The 19,672-nt window shown below is 41.6% G+C and overlaps 1 protein-coding gene and 1 pseudogene across 51 annotated transcripts in view, besides 1 other annotated feature; one reads left to right on the top strand and one right to left on the bottom strand.

Moving 5' to 3' along the window:
- Nucleotides 1-19,672, bottom strand: part of APBB2 (amyloid beta precursor protein binding family B member 2) — a 404,516-nt gene that overhangs the window by 166,906 nt on the left and 217,938 nt on the right. The window lies entirely within an intron of this gene.
- On the top strand, nucleotides 13,222-13,341 carry RNA5SP160 (RNA, 5S ribosomal pseudogene 160; annotated as a pseudogene).
- Nucleotides 14,181-14,250: a silencer, noted in NCBI's record as "silent region_15384". NCBI's record gives its function as "represses an Ori minimal core promoter by ATAC-STARR-seq in GM12878 lymphoblastoid cells {active_cell/tissue: GM12878}" and the evidence as "EXISTENCE:reporter gene assay evidence [ECO:0000049][PMID:35858748]".

Here is a 19,672-nt window from a genome sequence, read left to right on the forward strand (position 1 = left end):
CAGATACTTGGGAGGCTGAGGTGGGAGGATCACTTGAGCCCAGGAGGTCGAGGCTACAGTGAGCTATGATTGAGCCACTGCACTCCAGCCTGGTGACAGAGACTTTGTCTCAAAAAAAAATAGATTTTCATTCAAATTATTAAAGAACTGAAATGGTTATTACTGATACAAAGGAAATGCACTGTCCATCTTCTTCACATACCTCACAGAAGAAACACAGAGCCAAAGAAGGCTTGAGATGAGGAAATATCTCAAAATGCAAAGCACCTTGCTAGATGCTGAAGGGCAGTGGCTCTCAACATGGAAGCATGTAGGTGTCTTTTATTTTATTCTTAGTAAATACTAATTAAGAAAAGAACCATACTGTAATGAATTCAATATAGTTGTTTTTTTTTTTTTTAAGACGGAGTTTTGCTCTTGTCTCCCCAGCTGTGCACTGGCATAATCTCAGCTCACTGCAATCTCCAACTCCCAGGTTCAAGCGATTCTCATGCTACAGCCTCCCAAGTAGCTGGGATTACCGGCACCCACTACCACACCCAACTAATTTTTGTATTTTTAGTAAAGACAGAGTTTCGCCATGTTGGCCAAGCTGGTCTCGAATTTCTGACCTCAGGTGATCCTCCCACTTCGGCCTCCCAAAGTGCTGGGTTTACAGGTGTGAGCCACTGCACCTGGTCTCAATAAACTTTTAAAGAAACTTGTGTTTTAATAGTCTCAAGAGCGTCTATATATATTAATATTTGAAAAAGAGTCACACACATATAAAACACATGGTGTACATACAGACTGAAATATCACCTGATTCCCAAGAGGTCCGAGGCTAGGAATGACTACAGTGTGTGACAGATATAAAAATGATCACCAGAAAGACACTGGAGACATTGCTGTCACCTCAAAGAGCCTTAGTTCTAATGGAGATAAAACAAATGTGCACAGGAGTTTCATATAAGATAGAATGTAAAACACAAACTCCAGCTCCAAGGCTCAGGAGGGTGTGACATAGTGATGTGGCAGGCAATCAGAGGCTTCATGGTAGAAGCAGTGGAAAAATGGTTCAGCAACTCTCGTGTAAATATAATAGAAATGTTCTCTTTTGTACCTACAACAAGGTGCTCATATAGAAGATGGAAGAAAGGGTGGCCAGAAATAGCCTATGCCTGGATTGTTTTCTTAACCTTGGGTATTTAGCCCACAGCATACTTGACAACTGTCAAAGATGTGGTGCCCAGACCCAAGTCAGCAAGCTTGCCCCAAATCAGGCAGCTATGAAACTGGACTAAGTCACATATTCTTCTAGTCACACATTCAGGCTAAGGACATTTGGCTCCTACCTGACCAGAGCCGTGGTCTCCATGCTGAGATATAACTTAAATTTTTATTTGGTAACAGTCACTTTTCAAGATAAATGTGCATCTACAAGATTTGTATTTGGTAACAGTCACCTTTCAAGACAAATGCATCTACCCACCTGTGAGGCCATTTAGTGAGACTGAAGAGGAAGCCTGAATACAAACCACTAGAGAAAAACACTGTCTTATCAACAAGATTTTACTCTAGAAAAAAAGAGAAAAATATTCAATCATATTTATAATTAAATTAGTATTTTTTTTAAATCAAGCATTCCTGAATATTTTCCTTGGGAAAAAAAAGCGTGGAAAATTACTTAACAAATGTCAATCCAACCGTCAATCACGAAAAGGGTTTTTTGCAAGGTAGCTGGATCATATAAGCTTTCTGTGGTTCCTTCCTATCCCTATCCTCAGTTCCACAGTTCCTTGACCATATGAGTCATCATGAAAATTATGAAGATTTTATACTTACAAATAAACAAGCAAAAGCTCATTTTCTCCAAGATTCCATTTCAGTTAGTAACTAATTCGTATACACATTAGATGAAAAATGTTCTAATTCAATACAATTACGGGAAACAAAAAAAATTGCTCATTAAAGTCAATGAACTGCAGATTAATAAGAGTACTTGGAACTCATGATTTTTTTTTTAAAAGAAAACTATGAGATACACAGGAAAAGTAATGATAGAAAAGGCCCTAATACTGGAGCCAAAGGATTCTCAGCCTTTCCTGGCTCCATGACCTTGGGAAGTTTCTTCCACTGAGATGGTTTCTCATCTGCACAATGAGTTCGGGTAACTTGATGAGCTCTGAGTTTTTCTAACACTCTCTAGTTTAAGAATCTGGAAGGAAGGCTATATACTTTTTTCTGCTTAACAACATGTCTCAAAAAAGCTGTATAATAGAATCTGTACAATTAATTTGAGATCTCTAGAAATTAATATTTTTATGGAGTTGCTAGCAACTAAAAGACTTGATGTCCAACATACAACAGACAATCTTTGGACACATAAAAGAATTCTAAGATGGCCCTAAGATTCCTGCATCCTGATGCACATGCTCTGAACAGTTCCCTCCCCCAACTATAGGCAAGACCTAGAAATATCCTATTGTGATTATGTTGCATTGTAAGGTGAAGGGATTTTACGTATTTATTTACTTATTTTTATCTCTGAATTCTGAGCTTCAAAGGATTTTACATATTTAATTAAGATCCATAGTCAACTGTTTTTGTTCTAATTTAAAAAGAGACTATTCTGTATTCTGGATGGGCCTGACCTAATCAGGCAAGCTCCTAAGAGAGAAGCAGCAGCAGATATTCCCATGCTGGCCCTGAAGAAGTAAACTGCCATGTACAAAAGGAGGCCACACAGCAAGGACCAAAGGGCAGCCTCTGGGGATGGAAAGTGAGCCTGGCTTATATCTAGCAAGAAAACAGGGACCTCATCACACAACCCCAAGGAAATGAATTCTGCCGACAAGTGTGCTTGGAAGAGGACCCCATGTCTCAGAAGAGATCACAGTCAAGGCTGAGCTCTTGATTTCAACCTGGTGAGACTCCCAACAGAGCATGCAGCTCATCCATATTCAGAGTTCTGACACACAGAAGCTATGGACGTTGTTTTAAGCTGCTACATGTGTCATTATTTGTTATGCGGCAATAGAAAACTAATATAAGACACCTAGGTTTTTTGGAACAAAACCAGGAACTACTTGCCTATTTCACCACTAGCTGGAATTTTCTTTTCTTTTGGAGACGGAGTCTCACTCTGTCACCCAGGCTGGAGTGCAGTGGCATGATCTCGGCTCACTGCAACCTCCGCCTCCTCGGTTCAAGCAATTCTCCTGCCTCAGCCTCCTGAGTAGTTGGGACTACAGGCGCACGCTGCCACGCCTGGCTGACTTTCTGGATTTTTAGTACAGAAGGTGTTTCACTATGTTGCCCAGACTGGTCTCGAACTCCTGAGCTCAGGCAATCCACTCACCTTGGCCTCCCGAAGTGCTGGGATTACAGTCATGAGCCACTGCGCCTGGCCCTAGCTGGAACTTTCTTAGTCTTTTCTAGTTCATGCATTTCTGGAAAGGATTCCCCATCTCCTCATTATTTCTTTTGCATCCACTTTGGATTCATTTACTTTTCTACAACTCTGGCTGGAGAGAGCAGCAGTAGCCAACCCACTATGGGCATGAGAGAAAAGGAAGAATGCCCACACAGGACCCACGAGGGGGCACTGCAGAGCCAACTGCAGAGCCAATGAGTGTCCAACTTGGGTACAACTGTTTGTTTCAAGGATGCATAATACCAAGGAGGGGAAAGTTTGGGACAGTGTCAAAAACAGTAGAAATTATAGCCCTAAAGTTAGATAGATCTCTTCTTTATTTTGTGCAATCTAATGAATTGTGCTTGTGGTCTCAAGGCTTAACTGCTGCACATGGGCATAAAATGAAATTTGAATTGTATAGCTTTGGGTATAAGGACCAAAGAAGGCAATAAGAAATGTCCAAAGGCACTATTTCCCCAACTCAGGCTTTTTCTCAAATCTATTCCAGCTTCCAATCTCTTTTCTTGACTAGGAGATATTTCAAGTAAGTTTCTTGAAGTGGGATGAGAGAACCACCTGCATTAGATTCATTTAGAAATTCTTGTTAACAATGAAGATTCTTGGGCCCAATTAAAGACCCCGCTGAATCAGAATCTCTCTGGGATGAGACTCAGGGAATGCACATTTATAACACACTGAATCTTCTGCACACTAAATCTGCAAGCCAACAATCTACCTTGGCCAAGCCCATCCTTTTATAAATGAAGAACATGAGGCCAAGTAACTTGTTTATAGTGCTAGGGTTAGCAAGAAAGAGAATCAGAATTAGCTTTGGGAGGCTGAGGCGGGCGGATCACGAGGTCAAGAGATTGAGACCATCCTGGCCAACATGGTAAAACCCCATCTCCACTAAAAATACGAAAATTAGCTGGGTGTGGTAGCACACGACTGTAGTTCCAGCTACTTGGGAGGCTGAGGCAAGTGGAGGTTTACAGTGAGCTGAGATCGCACCACTGTACTCTGGCCTGGCGACAGAGTGAGACCCTGTCTCAAAAAAAAAAAGAGACAGAGCAAGCCAGAATTAATTCGAATCCAGAATGATGTAAAATCTACTGATGTTGATTGGGAAGCTGAAAATGAATCAGTGTTGTTACATTTTCCCCACTAATATTCTCCTCCATTAGTACAGATAATTAAGCATTAAAGATAAAATGACTTCGTAGTGACAGCAATATGCAAACACATTAAGGAAAAAAATTCCACTTCACAAAGGTCTGTGATTAGTTCATTTGGGTTGTATGCATGGTCTCTGCTACCAACAGACAATGAGGCCACCATGATGATGTACCTCATGTGGTCTGCCCATACTCACTCCAATTGGAGCCCCTGTAATTCTTCCACTGCAGCAGTTACATTCTTGTTTGGGGGCTATGCTTCTCCTATACGCAGAACAAGCAGTAAAGTGGAATATGCCTTAAAATGCCATTCAACTTGCCAGGCACAGTGGCTAATGCATCCCAGCACTTTGAGAGGCCAAGGCAGTAGGGTTTCTCGAGCGTAAGAATTTGAGACCAGGCCAGGTGCAGTGGCTCCTGCCTGTAATCCCAGCACTTTGGGAGGCCGAGAAGGGAGGATCATTTGAGTCAGGAGTTCGAGACCAGCCTGGCCAACATGGTGAAACCCCATCTCTACTAAAAATACAAAAATTAGTTGGGCGTGGTAGCACATGCCTGTAATCCCAGCTACTTGGGAGGCTGAGGCGTAAAAATCGCTTGAACCCAGGAGGTGGAGGTTGCAGTGAGCCGAGGTCACACCATTGCACTCCAGCCTGGGCAACAAGAGTGAAACTCTGTCTCAAAAAAAAGGAAAGAAAGAAAAGAAAGAAAAGAAAGGAAAGAAAGAAAGAAAGAAAGAAAGAAAGAAAGAAAGAAAGAAAGAAAGAAAGAAAGAAAGAAGGAAGGAAGGAAGGAAGGAAGGAAAGAAAGAAAGAAAGAAAAGAAAGAAGGAAGGAAGGAAGGAAGGAAGGAAGGAAGGAAGGAAGGAAGGAAGGAAGGAAGGAAGGAAAGGAAAGGAAAGAAAGAAAGAAAGAAAGAAAGAAAGAAAGAAAGAAAGAAAGAAAGAAAGAATGAATGAATTTGAGACCAGAGACCAGCCTGGGCAATGTAGCAAAACCAGCTCCCAATGTAGCAAAACCCTTAGGAGGTCAAGGCAGGTGGATTGCTTGAGCTCAGGAGTTCAAGACCAGCCTGGGGACCACAGTGAAACCCCGTCTCTACCAAAAATACAAAAATTAGCTGGTCTCTACCAAAAACACAAAAATTAGAGGTGATACACACCTCTAGTCCCAGCTACTTGTGAGGCTGAGGCGGGAGGATCACTTGAGCCTGGGAAGTTGAGGTTGCAGTGAGCTGTGATCACGCCACTGCACACCAGCCTGGGCAACAGAGACCCTGTCTCAAAAAAAAAAAAGAATATCAGAGTTCCAAAAGTCCTTTCACTTATCCAAATGCAGCAAGTACAAAAGTAGCAAACCATTCCCCCTCAACATGTGACAGGCTCCTGCCATGTACCTGGACTTTAAGGAGTCACTCTGTCCTCTCTAGGGAACTGCGATGGCCCTTTGTCATGCCCTTCTAGCCTGACCTGCAGGGTGAAGGTGGATAAGTATGAAGGCAGACATGGGGGACCCATTACCTAGATTTGGGGCTATGAAAATACTAAGCAGCTGACATTTTATTGAGCACTTACCATGAATTAACTAGATGCTGTTCTAAGTACTTCATGTCTATTACTCATTTAATTCTCAAAATTCGCCATTTCACAGTCCAGGGAAATGAGGAACAGGGAGGCAAAGTGACTTGCCTCGGTTCATAGAAATAAATGGTGGTGCTGGGATTCAAGCCCAGGCAGTCTTGCTCCACGGCCTGTGCTCTTAACCATCACACTATTCATTCTCCCTTCAGAACAGACACCAGAGCAAAGATGATTTAAAAGTGTTCTTACAGTAATCTACCCTCACATCCATATTCTGAAGAGTACTGTTTCTCGAAAAAAGAATGAAATGCACATTTTTATAATTTAAATGTAAAATATTGGGAAATAGCAGATATTTCACAGAAATTCTCTTCCCTATCATTCTAGGAGGTAGGTAAATATTATTTCTCTCAGTAGTGGACAAAACAGCTAAAGCTGACTTAGTACAATGTCACAGGGAGTCCAAGTTTCTTAACGAAGAGTCCTGTTAATTATGACTTTTTTTTTTTTTAAAGACGGAGTCTCACTCTGTTGCCCAGGCTGGAGTGCAATGGTGCCACCTCTACTCACTGCAACCTCAACATCCTGCATTTAAGCAATTCTCCTGCCTCAGCCTCCTGGCTAGCTGTGACTACAGGTGCATGCCACCATACCCCGCTAATTTTTGTATTTTTGGTAAAGACGGGGTTCCACACGTCGGCCAAGCTGGTCTCGAAATCCTGAACTCAAGTGTTCCTCCCGCCTCGGCCTCCCAAAGTGCTGGGGATACAGGCGTGAGCCATTGTGCCTAACTTTTTTTAAACTATGGTGTTTTTGATCCCTGAATCATGAGGTTTCTTGTAAGGGAAAAAAATTTGTAATTGCAAAACTGCTAGTGAGTTCAATGGTTAATTAAATGATCCAAAGAGAATCCATCGTCAGCAACCATCTGGTTAAAGTGCTGGGGGTGGACTAATCCTCAGACTATGCAAAACTTGGTTTTGATCTTTAGAAGCAAAAGAAAGCAGCAGTGCACAACTACCTGTGCAAGGGATGGCCGGATGAGGTTTGGAAGCTGAGGGCTCATCAGTATACATACTGTACGACACAGACACAGAAACCCTTTCTCAGTAGAAGCAGGGCAATGGTTGTCATGGATGAAATGCCAGGAGCTGCACTCCTGGGAAGCTGGCCAGTGTCTGGATCGTTAACATTTGTGTGTCTTACAAAAGTTCATGTGACTGAGCCCAGAGTCGGTTACCTTTTGAGTGAGTTCAGAGTCTTCCTTCTACCTTTCAGGGAACTTAAAGGACTTAATTTCTGAGAAAAACAGAAGTTGATCATGGAAAATAAGCAACAATTTTGGGATTTTGAAAGAAGTTAAGTGGTCCCTGGCCAAAGGAACTCCTCCACCAAAGAAAGGAAGGGTGGGGGGTCAGGGAGGTCAGGGAGGCCAAATTCCCTGACACTCCCACTCAAGAACATTTTATTCTGTGAAAAGAATACAGGCCAGAAATGGTTTTCTGGTTCACCATGGAGTGATAAGCGTTCTTCTAGAGCTATCTAGGCCCCTGGAACCCTCAAGGAGTGGAGTAACAGCTAACAAGTAGCAAAGGGGCAAAGAAAAACTGCCCAGACAAAGCTGGGAATTCAGTGCATTGCTTATTCTTATTTATTTATTTATTTTTTGGTAAAGAATAGTTTGCATAAAGAGGCTGACATACCCCAGTTCTCATGTTGTGGGGAGTACATGAAATTAATTTTAAAAATACGTGGTACTAGATATTTTTTTAAATCACACCCTCTTGGTGAACACCGTATTTAGCATTTACATAACAGTTTTGATCTCTGTTGTAGTTACAGATGATTTTTTTTTTGAGACAGGGTCTCACTCTCTTGCCCAGGCTGTAGTGCAGTGGTGTGATCATGGCTCACTGCAGCCTCAACCTCGTGGCTCAAGTGATTCTCTCATCTCAACCTCTCAAGTAGTTAGAACTACAAGGCACCACCACACCCAGCTAATTTTTTTTTTTGTAGAGATGGGGTTTCACCATATTGCCCAGGCTGGTCTCAGACTTCTGGGTTCACATGATCCTCTTGCCTCAGCCTCCAACGTGTTGGGATTACAGGCGTGAGCCACTGTGTCCAGCCCCAGATGACTTTAAATTTTACGTTTATCTATGTTTCCTAACTTTGTCTTCAATGAGTATGTCTTTTCTTAAAAAAAAATGCAGTTAATAAATTAATAAAATTTCAATCTATCTATTTAATTATTGAAAAATAATTAAACAACCCAGTGGTAGGAAGCTATGTTTAATTGAGTTACCTATGGTCCATTTCAGCAGGATTATTTATTCTTAGTAGAAAAGTAGAGCTTTTCAGGCGGTTACATGAAGAACTGTAGGACCTAAGTATGCAGCAACAGAGAGCACAGGGCCAATTGTGGGGTGGCTCTGATGAAGACAAGTCTTTTCACGTTAGTATTGATTTCATTATCTTTTAAAACCCACTTTAGTTATATTGAATTTCATGTTCAATACACCGACTAATCCACAAACTGTAATAAAGGGGAAAACAAAAACCAGGTCCATTTCAGTCATTAGTAAAGGCAGATTTCTTACCAGAAACACTGAAATTAAAATAGTATTTTTTTATTCTGTTGCAATTTCACCACACCAACTCTCTAAGTATTAAAACAACAGAAAGATAATGACACAAAATTATCCAAATTTGAGTTAGAACAAAGCTGGGGAAAAAGATGAGTATCAGTAATTTCTAGAAAGTTGAGCAAAGCATTTCTAGATATAGGTCAAATTGGGCAAGAAAAACATCACTGATAATAAGCTTGCTGATCCAAATTATCTTAAGTACAGACTTTTTCAACTCCGGTAATAGGTTGTCCCAGAGAAGAAATAAGTGACACATAAATAACAAAAGAGAAGTTTTGTAAGGGCTCCTAGTTCTATTTGAAAAACCTTTAAGCTCCACAGATCACAATTTTCAAACTTCAATACCTGACCACACAAGAAAGCCAAAAACTTGAATTTGAGACAATCTTCTCAAGCTACTCCATCAACTCAAAATTATTTATTTCCTCCATTTATGATTCCCCTGCCAGTCTAATAAAATAGTAAGGCTAAAAAAATTCCAAAACAATCCAGAAGCAAGATATAACCAATGAAATACTGTACGTAATAAGAGACTACTTACGCTCTCTGGTTGTCACCATGCAATCCACTCCCAACTCATCTGCTACCAGCATCCTCCAGGTTTTTGAGCTACATTTCTCAGTAGTTTTCTATCCTTCTTCACATGACTCCAAAACAGCTTCCCATTCAAAGCAAAATAAACAGCTTCATGTGTAAACAAGAATTTAGTGAATTAGCCCAAGTAGAATCAGATTTTGTGTGGGAGAGTACACATAATGCACACATACTCATTTGCCTGGACATTACATTGCTGAAGTTCCACGTGCAAATGGTATCAATGCTTCCTTGTCTGGATGAGCTGGGAACGAGGCCACTAGGAAAAATGTGTTCATACTGAACTGCCTCCAGTTTGAAAGACACTGATGCAGGATCTGACTTACTCCATTCAAGAGCTGAGATCTAGAAACAGGGACATCTGGTCCTGGAATCTACTGCATTAATCCATCACTCATGAGTGCCACCTAAATAGCAAAGTCCCTTACACAGCCCTCGTGAAAGCACTGAAGAAATCATTCAAAAAGATCTTTATTTCAAATTGCTTGAATAAACATGCAGGTGTAAAATAATGAAAAATTATTAAGATAAATTTAGGAAACAAAGATTCTTTCCAAGGTTCTTAACCGTCAATACGGCAAAGGAGTACGACAGGAATGGGGGAAATTGATTTTGTGAAAGGCTATTAAAGAGAGTGCTATTCTCATCAGAAAGTCCCTCCCCTTTTAAAATGTAATCAATAATTTAAAGCAAAGCCAAAAATCATATCAGTTAAAAGGACCAGGACATTTCTTTTTGCACAGTATAGGAGGAAAATTAAATTAGTGTCTCTTAAGAAATTACTATTATCCTTAAGAGAAGTAGTAGGTAAAAATTTTAACTCTTTTCCACAGCTTGCCATTTTACTCACTTTAAAAGAAAGGGTTCAAAGTTAAACAATATGATACTAAGCATATCATCAAAATAATAATAAATTTCTTTTATTACTCAGATATCTGATTTCCTGCCAAAGTTTAAAAGATTTATTTAAAACTTAACAGGCACAAAACATACTTCAGCATTTGGCAGAAGTTGTTTTCTTTCTCAGTTTAGCAATTTTTAAAATGTAAAGTTACACAATCATCAGCGGGAAGGTTTGACGGTTTGATTACAAATTATACTGAACCTATTCTTCATTTTAATGTGCCTCGTTCTCTTTAAGTATTGATTTGTGCCTAAAGGATAAGATGGTCTATTTCATATTTCATTTTTTTTTAGATTTGACCTTTCAATCCAATGGCTAACTCTTTGAAATGTATTTAAAATTAGATAGTCATCTTTTCTGCAAAATGAAGGACTGCACACAGTCTCTGTGTGTCTAACTCTCCGAACTAGGACGTGAGAATTCTCATGAGGGTTCTGGTTGATGGCCACAAAATGGAAAAGGCAGAAGAGCTTCGGTAAGTAGATATGTACCATCATGTTTGTGAGTGCCCTGTTTCTAGAACTCTTTTAAACTATAAATGATTCTGTGAGCTATTAAGCCTCTCTCTAAGAATCTAGCAGATTCATCCTAAGCATGTGTTGAATGGTCACCTCTCTAGAATGGAGCAGAAGGGAATTAGAAAGGAGAGAAGGGTAAATAAAAGTTAAGGTCCCTCGAATGCTAAGATTTCATGGTCTTCCACCATATTAAAATGAGATTTTTATATTCAAACATTAGTGTTCACCAGATAAAATTGATCTCTCAAAACCTCGCTGTCCTTGTCTGAAATATACGAATAATTACAAGCAGGATTATTTTGTGAACTAAATGAGATAATGGAAATGATCAGACTGTTCATATGGTGAGAAACAAATGGTCACCATGACTAAGTGACTATGCCCCAAGGATAACTCAAAGCCAATTCTGTCACAAGAATTCCAAAGTCATATCAAAGCCACACACAATCCCAACAGCACCAGATCCAGACTTAACCCAAATGTGTTATTCCCATTGCACTTGTGCTGGAAGTCTTTATTTTGATGCATATGTACTTGAATTCAAGTTAATTAAAGTTTACTACTTCCCAACAACCCACTGTTTTGTTTTAAAATGCCAGGGGCTAGGCCAGGAATGGTGGCTCATGCCCTGTAATCCCAGCACTTTGGGAGGTGGAGGCAGGCGGATCACCTAAGGTCAGGAGTTCGAGACCAGTCTGGCCAAAATGGTGAAACCTTGTCTTTACTAAAAATACAAAAAAATTAGCCAGGCATGGTGGTGGGTGCCTGTAATCCCAGCTACTCGGGAGGCTGAGGCAGGAGAATCACTTGAACCCAGGAGGCGGAGATTGAAGTGAGCCAAGATCGTGCCACTGCACTCCAGCCTGGGCGACAGAGCGAGACTCCGTCTCAAAAAAAAAAAAAAAAAAGACTGTCTCAAAAAAAAAAAAAAGCCAGGGGCTACTATGCGGTATAAATATAATTAATATTACTGTGACGAATGATAAATAAATAATGAGTTTTCATTTGCAATCCAAAGTCTTTTTTTTTTTTGAGACAGAGTCTCACTCACTCTGTCACCCAGGCTGGAGTGCAGTGGCATGATCTTGGCTCACTGCAGCCTCCGCTTCCCGGGTTCAAGCAATTCTCCTGCCTCAGCCTCCCAAGTAGCTGGGATTACTGGTATGCACCACCGCACTCAGATAATTTTTTAGTAGAGACGAGGGTTTCACCATGTTGGCCAGGCTGGTCTTGAACTCCTGACTTCACGTGATCCACCCGCCTTGGTCTCCCAAGAGTGAGGATTACAGGTGTGAGCCACTGCGCCTGGCCCCAGAGTACTTTTTTTCTAGAATTTGCAATGTTCATAAAGTGGGTGAGAAACAAACTGATAACCTAACTCCCTCTTCCACCTCACTTACTGATACACAGTATTAACAGTCTCGTATAGGAGGCAGCTATCCCATGTTGCAATGCCTTGCCTCTTCCTATACTTTTCAGTGGCTTGGTGGCAAAAGGAAAAGCCAAGCAAAGCTCAGAGAGAATCGTTTTCCCCCTCAACTGGTCACTGATCACACTAGATTGAACATGAGAAATGGCTTCCAGAGGTAGATGCCTCCTCTGCAGAAAACGTTCATTTCCTGGGAGCAAAACCAAAATCTCTGCATCTAAAAATCTATGCCTCCCAAAATTATGGGCTTTATGTCACCACTTAGCTTTTGTAAAAACAATGTGCAGATGAGCTTAGAGGAAATCAATAAAATGCAAGAGTTTTTAATTTCCCTTGAGTAGAAGGAGAAACTACATTTTTTTTTTCCCAAATCCATCCCAGATGTGGCCAGTTTTCCAAACTAGCTACCTATTTGCTTTGTTAATTTGCTTGTTTGGTTATTTATTCTCTACTGTACTCCAATAAACAATTTATCATGATGTGCAGAGGTGCATGCACTGCACAGACTGATACAGCCCCCTACTGAGTCCAGGTCTCGCTGTCCCAAGCTTTAAGCTGATCTCTGTGTCATCCGAGCCTCGTCGGAAGGGGAATGTGTTTGTTTAGGGGCAGTGTCGCAGACAACATATTCATAGATTAAATATTGCAAACCAGACTTCCTAATCCAATGGCAGCAAGATAACAATCACTGGGTATTCAGGAAAAGCAACTCTGGGCCTCAAAGAGATCTTCAATAAACTGTCTGCTCAACTGGGAAAGAAAAGAAGAAAACTAAAGAGTACATATAAAACGCTAAAACTTATAGAGAGGAGCCTTTTATTAAATGATACCTGGGTTGCTGCTCCACAAGGGTTCTCAAAAGCGGGAGTGATACAATGTGGAAACCACCCAAGTGTCCATCCATAGATGACTGAATAAGCAAAACGTGGTATATACAGACAGTGGAATATTAATTACTCAGCTTTAAAGTGGAAGGGGTCTATGGCCATAAAACCCTGAACTTGCCAGATCTCATCTGATGTGGGAAGCTAAGCAGGGTCAGGTCTAGTTAGAACTTGGATGGGAGACCACCATGAGAATACCAGGTGCTATAGGCTTTCTCTCTTTCTTCTCTCTCCCTCTCTCTTTCTCCCCTCCCCTCTTGTCTCTCTCTCTCTTTCTCTCTCCAGCTGTTGTTGGACATCAGAAGAATATTCCAGTTGTATCCGGTGTCTACCGTGAAAAAAAGTGTTCTTTTTTGCAAAAGTGCCAGAAAGGAGTGGTGAGATTCATCCCAAGCCAATCATTTCTCATGAAAGACACTGTGCCATAACCGCTTTTCACACACACAAGAAAGGAGAAAGGGAGGAAGGCAGGGAGAAACTCAGCAAACAGCTCAGGATTTCCACAGCCTACCATTCCAAACCTTTCGCACTTCCAGAAGGCTTCTTGATGGAGTTGTGGCAAGCTCATGGGGGAAATGCTTCACCCCAACGTAACCCAGACCAAATATGCCATTGCACAGGAAGTGGGTGCTGAGTCCAAGTGTGTCCATATGAGCAAAGTAACACAGATTAAACAGTGATTCATTTCATACCAAACTGCATCCATCATTTTAAAAACTGTGTCATCATCCTACTCCAAACTGTATGTGGCATCTTCTCTTCCTCTTCTGCCAAGCAGAGCAAAGACTCTAGGTTACAGCTCATGAAGGTGTAAATTGGGTTGATATGCTCTATGGAGGCAAATGGAGGAAAAAGAAAGGAAGGAAACCCTGAATGGGGGTTGGGGGCAGGGAGGGGTAAGATTTACTCTGCTAACTACATAGATTTCTGGTCATTTTGGACTGAGTTTCATTTTTTTTTTTTTTGGAGGCAAGGTTTCACTCTGTTGCCCAGGTTGCAGGGCAGTGGTGCAATCTTGGCTCACTGCAACTTTCGTCTCAGCCTCCTGAGTAGCTGGAACTACAGATGTGTGCCACTACGCATGGCTAATTTTGTTGTGTGTGTGTGTGTTTTGCTTTTTTTTTTTTTTTTTTTTTTGTAGAAATGAGATCTCACCATTTTGCCCAGGCTGGTCTCGAACTCCTGGGCTCAAGAAATCTGCCTGCCTTGGCCTCCCAAAGTGCTAGGATTACAGGTGTGAGCCACCGTGCCTTGCTGGGTTTTGATTTTTAAATTTTTTATTTTGCTTCCTGGTATTGATTTTTAAAAGTCCCCTGGAAAATGCCTTGCATTTAAAAACCCTCACACCCCTTACGATAACCTATTCTGTCCCTAAAATTAAGACTATAACTTTCAAAACACTTTAGATGAAATTGTGCTAGGCCAGAGTAAGTGATCCTATTTATTTTTTTAAAAATATGTATCCAAAAAGTACAGGGGGAAAAAAAACCTATAGTGTTCTAACTATAGCAATTTCCTCCTGCTTTTATCCCTGTGTCTGAAGTGAGGTCATTTTTGTTTGTTTTTGGCAAGTGAACAGAGAAAAGAAGAAAGAAAAACACACACACACACCCTAGACTTTTCACCCCCTCCTCCTAAAACAGACACACTTGTTAATTTACAGCTTTGAAAATCATCTGGGTAGTTCTTCCATAATTCACCATCTTCCTTGGTTTTCTAGGATTTTTTTTAGAACCTTCAGACCCCAGAGGGCATTTCACTTGAAGATGCTACTCGTCTCATCCCTTCAGAAGGTGGGCTGAGGTTTCCTTAAGAATCTTCTATGAGAGTGGTCTGCAATTAGAAAGTTATAACAATTCTACCTGTGAGGGTGTTCTACAATCAGAACACTGCTCTCACTCTCCCTCCTCCTCCCCATCTCTCTCTCTCACACTCACGCACAGACACCACACACACCACACTCACACTGAAATTAAGAGTGAAAACTGTTAAGGCTAAAAATACTACAGAGAGAAAAGCATCTTTGCTAACACTTAATACTCAGAACAACTTTTTGAAAGTGAAAATGACGATGCTTTACCTGACTGATTATCAATGCAGCTGCCTTTTTTGTTTGTTGCTTGTTTTTAAGAGACAGGGTCTCACTCTGTTGCACAAGCTGGAAGCCAGTGGCATAATTATAGCCTTGACCACCTGGGCCCAAGTGACATCCTCTGCCTCAGCCTCCCGAGTAGCTGGTACTAAAGGTGCACGGCACTACACTTAGCTAATTTTATTTATTTATTTATTTTTGGTAGAGATGGGGGGGGGTCTTTCTATGTTGCCCATGCTGGTCTCAAACTCCTAGCCTCAAACTATCCTCCCACCTCAGCCTCCCAAAGCACTGGGATTACAGGTGTGAGCCACTGCACCAGATTGACACAGCTTTTTAGTTCGCTTCAGCAGCTATAGATTTACCTTCTGATGTAGTTAAACAACATTTTAGATACGTGCTGAACAGCAGTCTTGGACACCTCATTAATATGTAGTAAGGAAGAGAGCAAACCAACACTTGGAAAATTGTTCAATGAGGTGTGTGAAATGACTGGATGGAAACGCTGGTAACCCCTGGAAGTAACGCGGGAAGTATGAAGCCAGCGAGCAGGAGTATCACGAGCAGAAGACCGACCCCCGATGTCCAGGCCAGGGAGCTGCACCACCCTCAGGACCCATCACCTTCCTCACCCCTTCAAGTAAGACCGAGGCTCATGGGCAATGACGAACAAGCCAAACCACAGGGCCGGATGGAGATAGGCCGGCCTGCCATGTGCAGGATCTCTACGTTGTGAAACACTGTCTTCCTGCCTACTTGTTCTAGTCTACTCTGCTGCTTATCTGAAGTTATTTTCTGTTTGTGTACACAATCGTAGTCCCTCTTTTACTCTCTCTCTGTGCTTTTCCTTCAGTGGGAGAATTAATTTTCCATACCAGAATATTTATAAAATCCAATTTTTGCTGAGCCCTTACTACATGGCAATCACTACGTTCTGTGCCCCACATGTCTTGTTTCAGTTAATCATCACAACCACCCCACAAGGCAGAGACTATTATTAACCCTATTTGACAGAGGAGGAAACGTATGGTGTTAAGTGACTCAGCCACAATCATCCATTTAGTAATAGCACAGCTGGGATTTAAATATTCAGTGTTCATAGTGCAGTAAAGCTTATGGCACAAATTCCATTTTAGGGACAAGAACAAGAGAAGAGATTTCCAGTAGTTTAATTTCTGGAGCACAGGAGCAATTAAGAACTCTTCTCTCTTTTTTTTTTTTTTTTTTTTTTTTAACAAAAATGTTTTTTGAGACAGGGTTACCCTTTGTCTCCCAGGCTGAAGTGCAGTGGTGTGATCTTGGCTCACTGCAGCCTTGACCTCCGGGGCTCAAGGAGATCCTCCCACCTCAGCTTCCTGAGTAGCTGGGACTACAGGCACGTGCCATCATACCCAGCTAATTTTTTGTTTATTTTTTATAGAGATGAAGTCTCATTATGTTGCCCAGGCTGGTCTCAAACTCCTGGCCTCAAGCAATCCTCCTGCCTCAACCTCCCAAAGTGCTGGGATTACAGCATAAGCCATCATGCCTGGCCACTTCTACTTGATTCTATCAAAAACAAAAGAAAATATTATTTTTTAAAAGAAAATAAATGTTTTCCACGTTTTTCATTAAGGCTGTGATTCTTGTTAAATGTTAGCCAGATCAGTATCCATTATAATAGGAACACAGCACTTCAAACACAACAGAAGGCCCTAACTAAAGCAGTTCCTGTGTCAGAATCTGAGCCATGCTTCTCAAATGATGCATAGAGGAGGAAGTTAAAATGCAGGTTCCTGAGACCCACTACCTGCGTCTGAGTCTGTAAGGCACAGGTAGGGCCCAGGTATCTACATTTAAAGAAACACCTAGGAGAGGCTGGGCGCGGTAGCTCACACCTGTAATCCCAGCACTTTGGGAGGCCAAGGCAGGCAGATCACAAGGTCAGAAGATCAAGACCATCCTGTGAATGGTGAAGCCCCGTCTCTACTAAAAATTACAAAAAATTAGCCGGGCACGGTAGCGGGCGCCTGTAGTCCCAGCTACTCGGGAGGCTGAGGAAGGAGAATGGCGTGAACCTGGGAGGTGGAGCTTGCAGTGAGCCGAGATCGCGCCACTGCACTCCAGCCTGGGCAACAGAGCAAGACTCATCTCAAAAAAAAAAAAAAGAAACACCTAGGAGTTCTGATGCAGACAGACTACAGGCCAAACTTACTAGCTGCAACGAGATTTTCTCCAAGACTTGCAAATGAAGAAAATAAGATTGCTCTTGAAGTTAAAGTATGATAGTTGAATCAGTCAATGGATCAAAACCAAGAAATGGAGTAAGAGTGAGATAAGATGTCTCCCAAACATAGTATGACTTATCTTTAACTCAGTAGAAAATATTACTGTATCTTGGGCCGGGTGCAGTGACTCATGCCTGTAATCCCAGCACTTTGGGAGGGTGAGGTGGGCAGGATCATGAGGTCAAGAGATTGACACCATCCTGGCTAACATGGTGAAACCCCATCTCTACTAAAAATACAAAATATTAGCCAGGCGTGGTGGCACATGCCTATAGTCCCAGCTACTCGGGAAGCTGAGGGAGGAGAATCGCTTGAACCTGGGAGGCGGAGGTAGCAGTGAGTCAAGATTGTGCCACTACACTCCAGCCTGGGGCGACAGAGCAAGACTCCGGAAAAAAAAAAAAAGAAAAGAAAAGAAGAAAGGAAAAAGGAAGGAAGGAGAGAGAGAAGGAGGGAGGGAGGGAAGGAGGGAAAGAAATAAAGAAGGAAAATATTACTGTATCTTAAGAAAGATTGTATTGATCAAAAATGTAAGTACCTTAAAAAAAAAAGCAATCATTCCCTTTTCTCTGAAGAGGGACTCTTAGGCAATGCACTTCAAGGATTCTAGGTCCCAAGTAGCATCATCTCAAGGGAAAGAAGGACAGCGCGCCTCAGACTATCCCAGCCTGAGACCATTTAAATATTTGATTCATCCAACACCCCTTTGGCTGAAACCATGTTCCCCAAGCAAACAAGCTTATGCTTGGGTTTCCTATGCAGTTGAGTAATTATTTCTATTTGGAAAATAATACACTGGCATTGAGAATGTGCACTGAACATGCAGTACCAAGAAATCTAACACCTAGGAGAGTGGTAATTCTCATAACAAATTAATAGATTCTTATTTTGGCTCCAGTGTTTCTTATTTTGGCTTTAGTATTTCTCGAGAAGTTGATTAATAAGTCCATCCGTCAGAAATGGATCTTTTTTTTGAGACAGAGTCTTGCTCTGTTGCTCAGGCTGGAGTGTAGTGGCACCATCATAGTTTCAAATGCCAGGGTCAAGCGATCTTCTGGCCTTAGCATCCTGAGTAGCTGGGACCACAGGTATGTGCCACTATATCTGGCTAATGTTTAAAAAAAAAAAATTTTTTTTTTTTTTTGAAACAGACTCACTTTGTTGCCCAGGCTGCAGTGCAGTGGCACAAACACAGCTCACTACAGCCTCGACTTCCTGAGTTAAATCCTCCTACCTCAGCCTCCTACGTAGCTGACGCCAGCATGTGCCACTATGTCTGGCTAATTTTTTAATTTTACAGAGACAGGGTCTTGCCATGTTGCCCAGGCTGGTCTTGAAATCCTAGACTTAAGTAATCCTCCTGCCTCACCCTCCCAAAGTACTGGGGATTACAGGTGTGAGCCACCGTGCCAGCCCTTAAACATTTTTTTAACAGAAACAGAGACTCACTATGTTGCCCAGGCTGGTGTTGAACTCCTGGCCTCAAGAGATCCTCCTGCCTAAGCCTCCCAACATACTGGGATTACAGATGTGAGCCACCGTGCCCCGCCATGGATCTGCTTTTAATGCCTGGTTTTAGAGCCTCTTAGCTAGATTGTTGGCCACAGTTATTTCACTGAGGTTACATCTGTTGAGTGTCTCACTTGGCAGAGATTCTGAACATCAGTTTGTGAGTGCTCAAGCATGCTTGTCTTTCTACAAGTGGCCCCTTCACTTTACTGTAGAGAACTAGAAATGAGAGAAATGGGATGTGTCATCACTGTATTTGAGAGTTCATTGGTGAATGAGATATCTAGCCATTTTTCTAGAACTATGGCTAAGTTGAATTTAATATTTAAGATGAGGAAAAACGAAGACTGGTTAAACCATTATAAGTATTTCACTGTTTTTGTTTGTTTGTTTTGTTTTTTAAGGCAGTTCTCTAATAACACCCAATCTGTTTAAGCCACCCATGTTTCCACCCCATCCTCATCTGATCACCCCTCTGAATCTTGGTTAAAATAAAGGACATACACGAGTCCCAGACAGGGTGCAGAAATTTGGTGTCCAGGTGACAAAGTCTGAATCTCTCTGACTTCTCCCTAAAAACGACAACTCTATCTTGAGGATGTCAGTCCTTGGCTATTATTCCCACATCATCTCAACTGACATGTCTAAAATCAAACACATCATCTTTCTCCAACAA

This window comes from Homo sapiens, chromosome 4 (genome assembly GCF_000001405.40).
Source record: "Homo sapiens chromosome 4, GRCh38.p14 Primary Assembly".
Taxonomy (NCBI): Eukaryota; Metazoa; Chordata; class Mammalia; order Primates; family Hominidae; genus Homo; species Homo sapiens.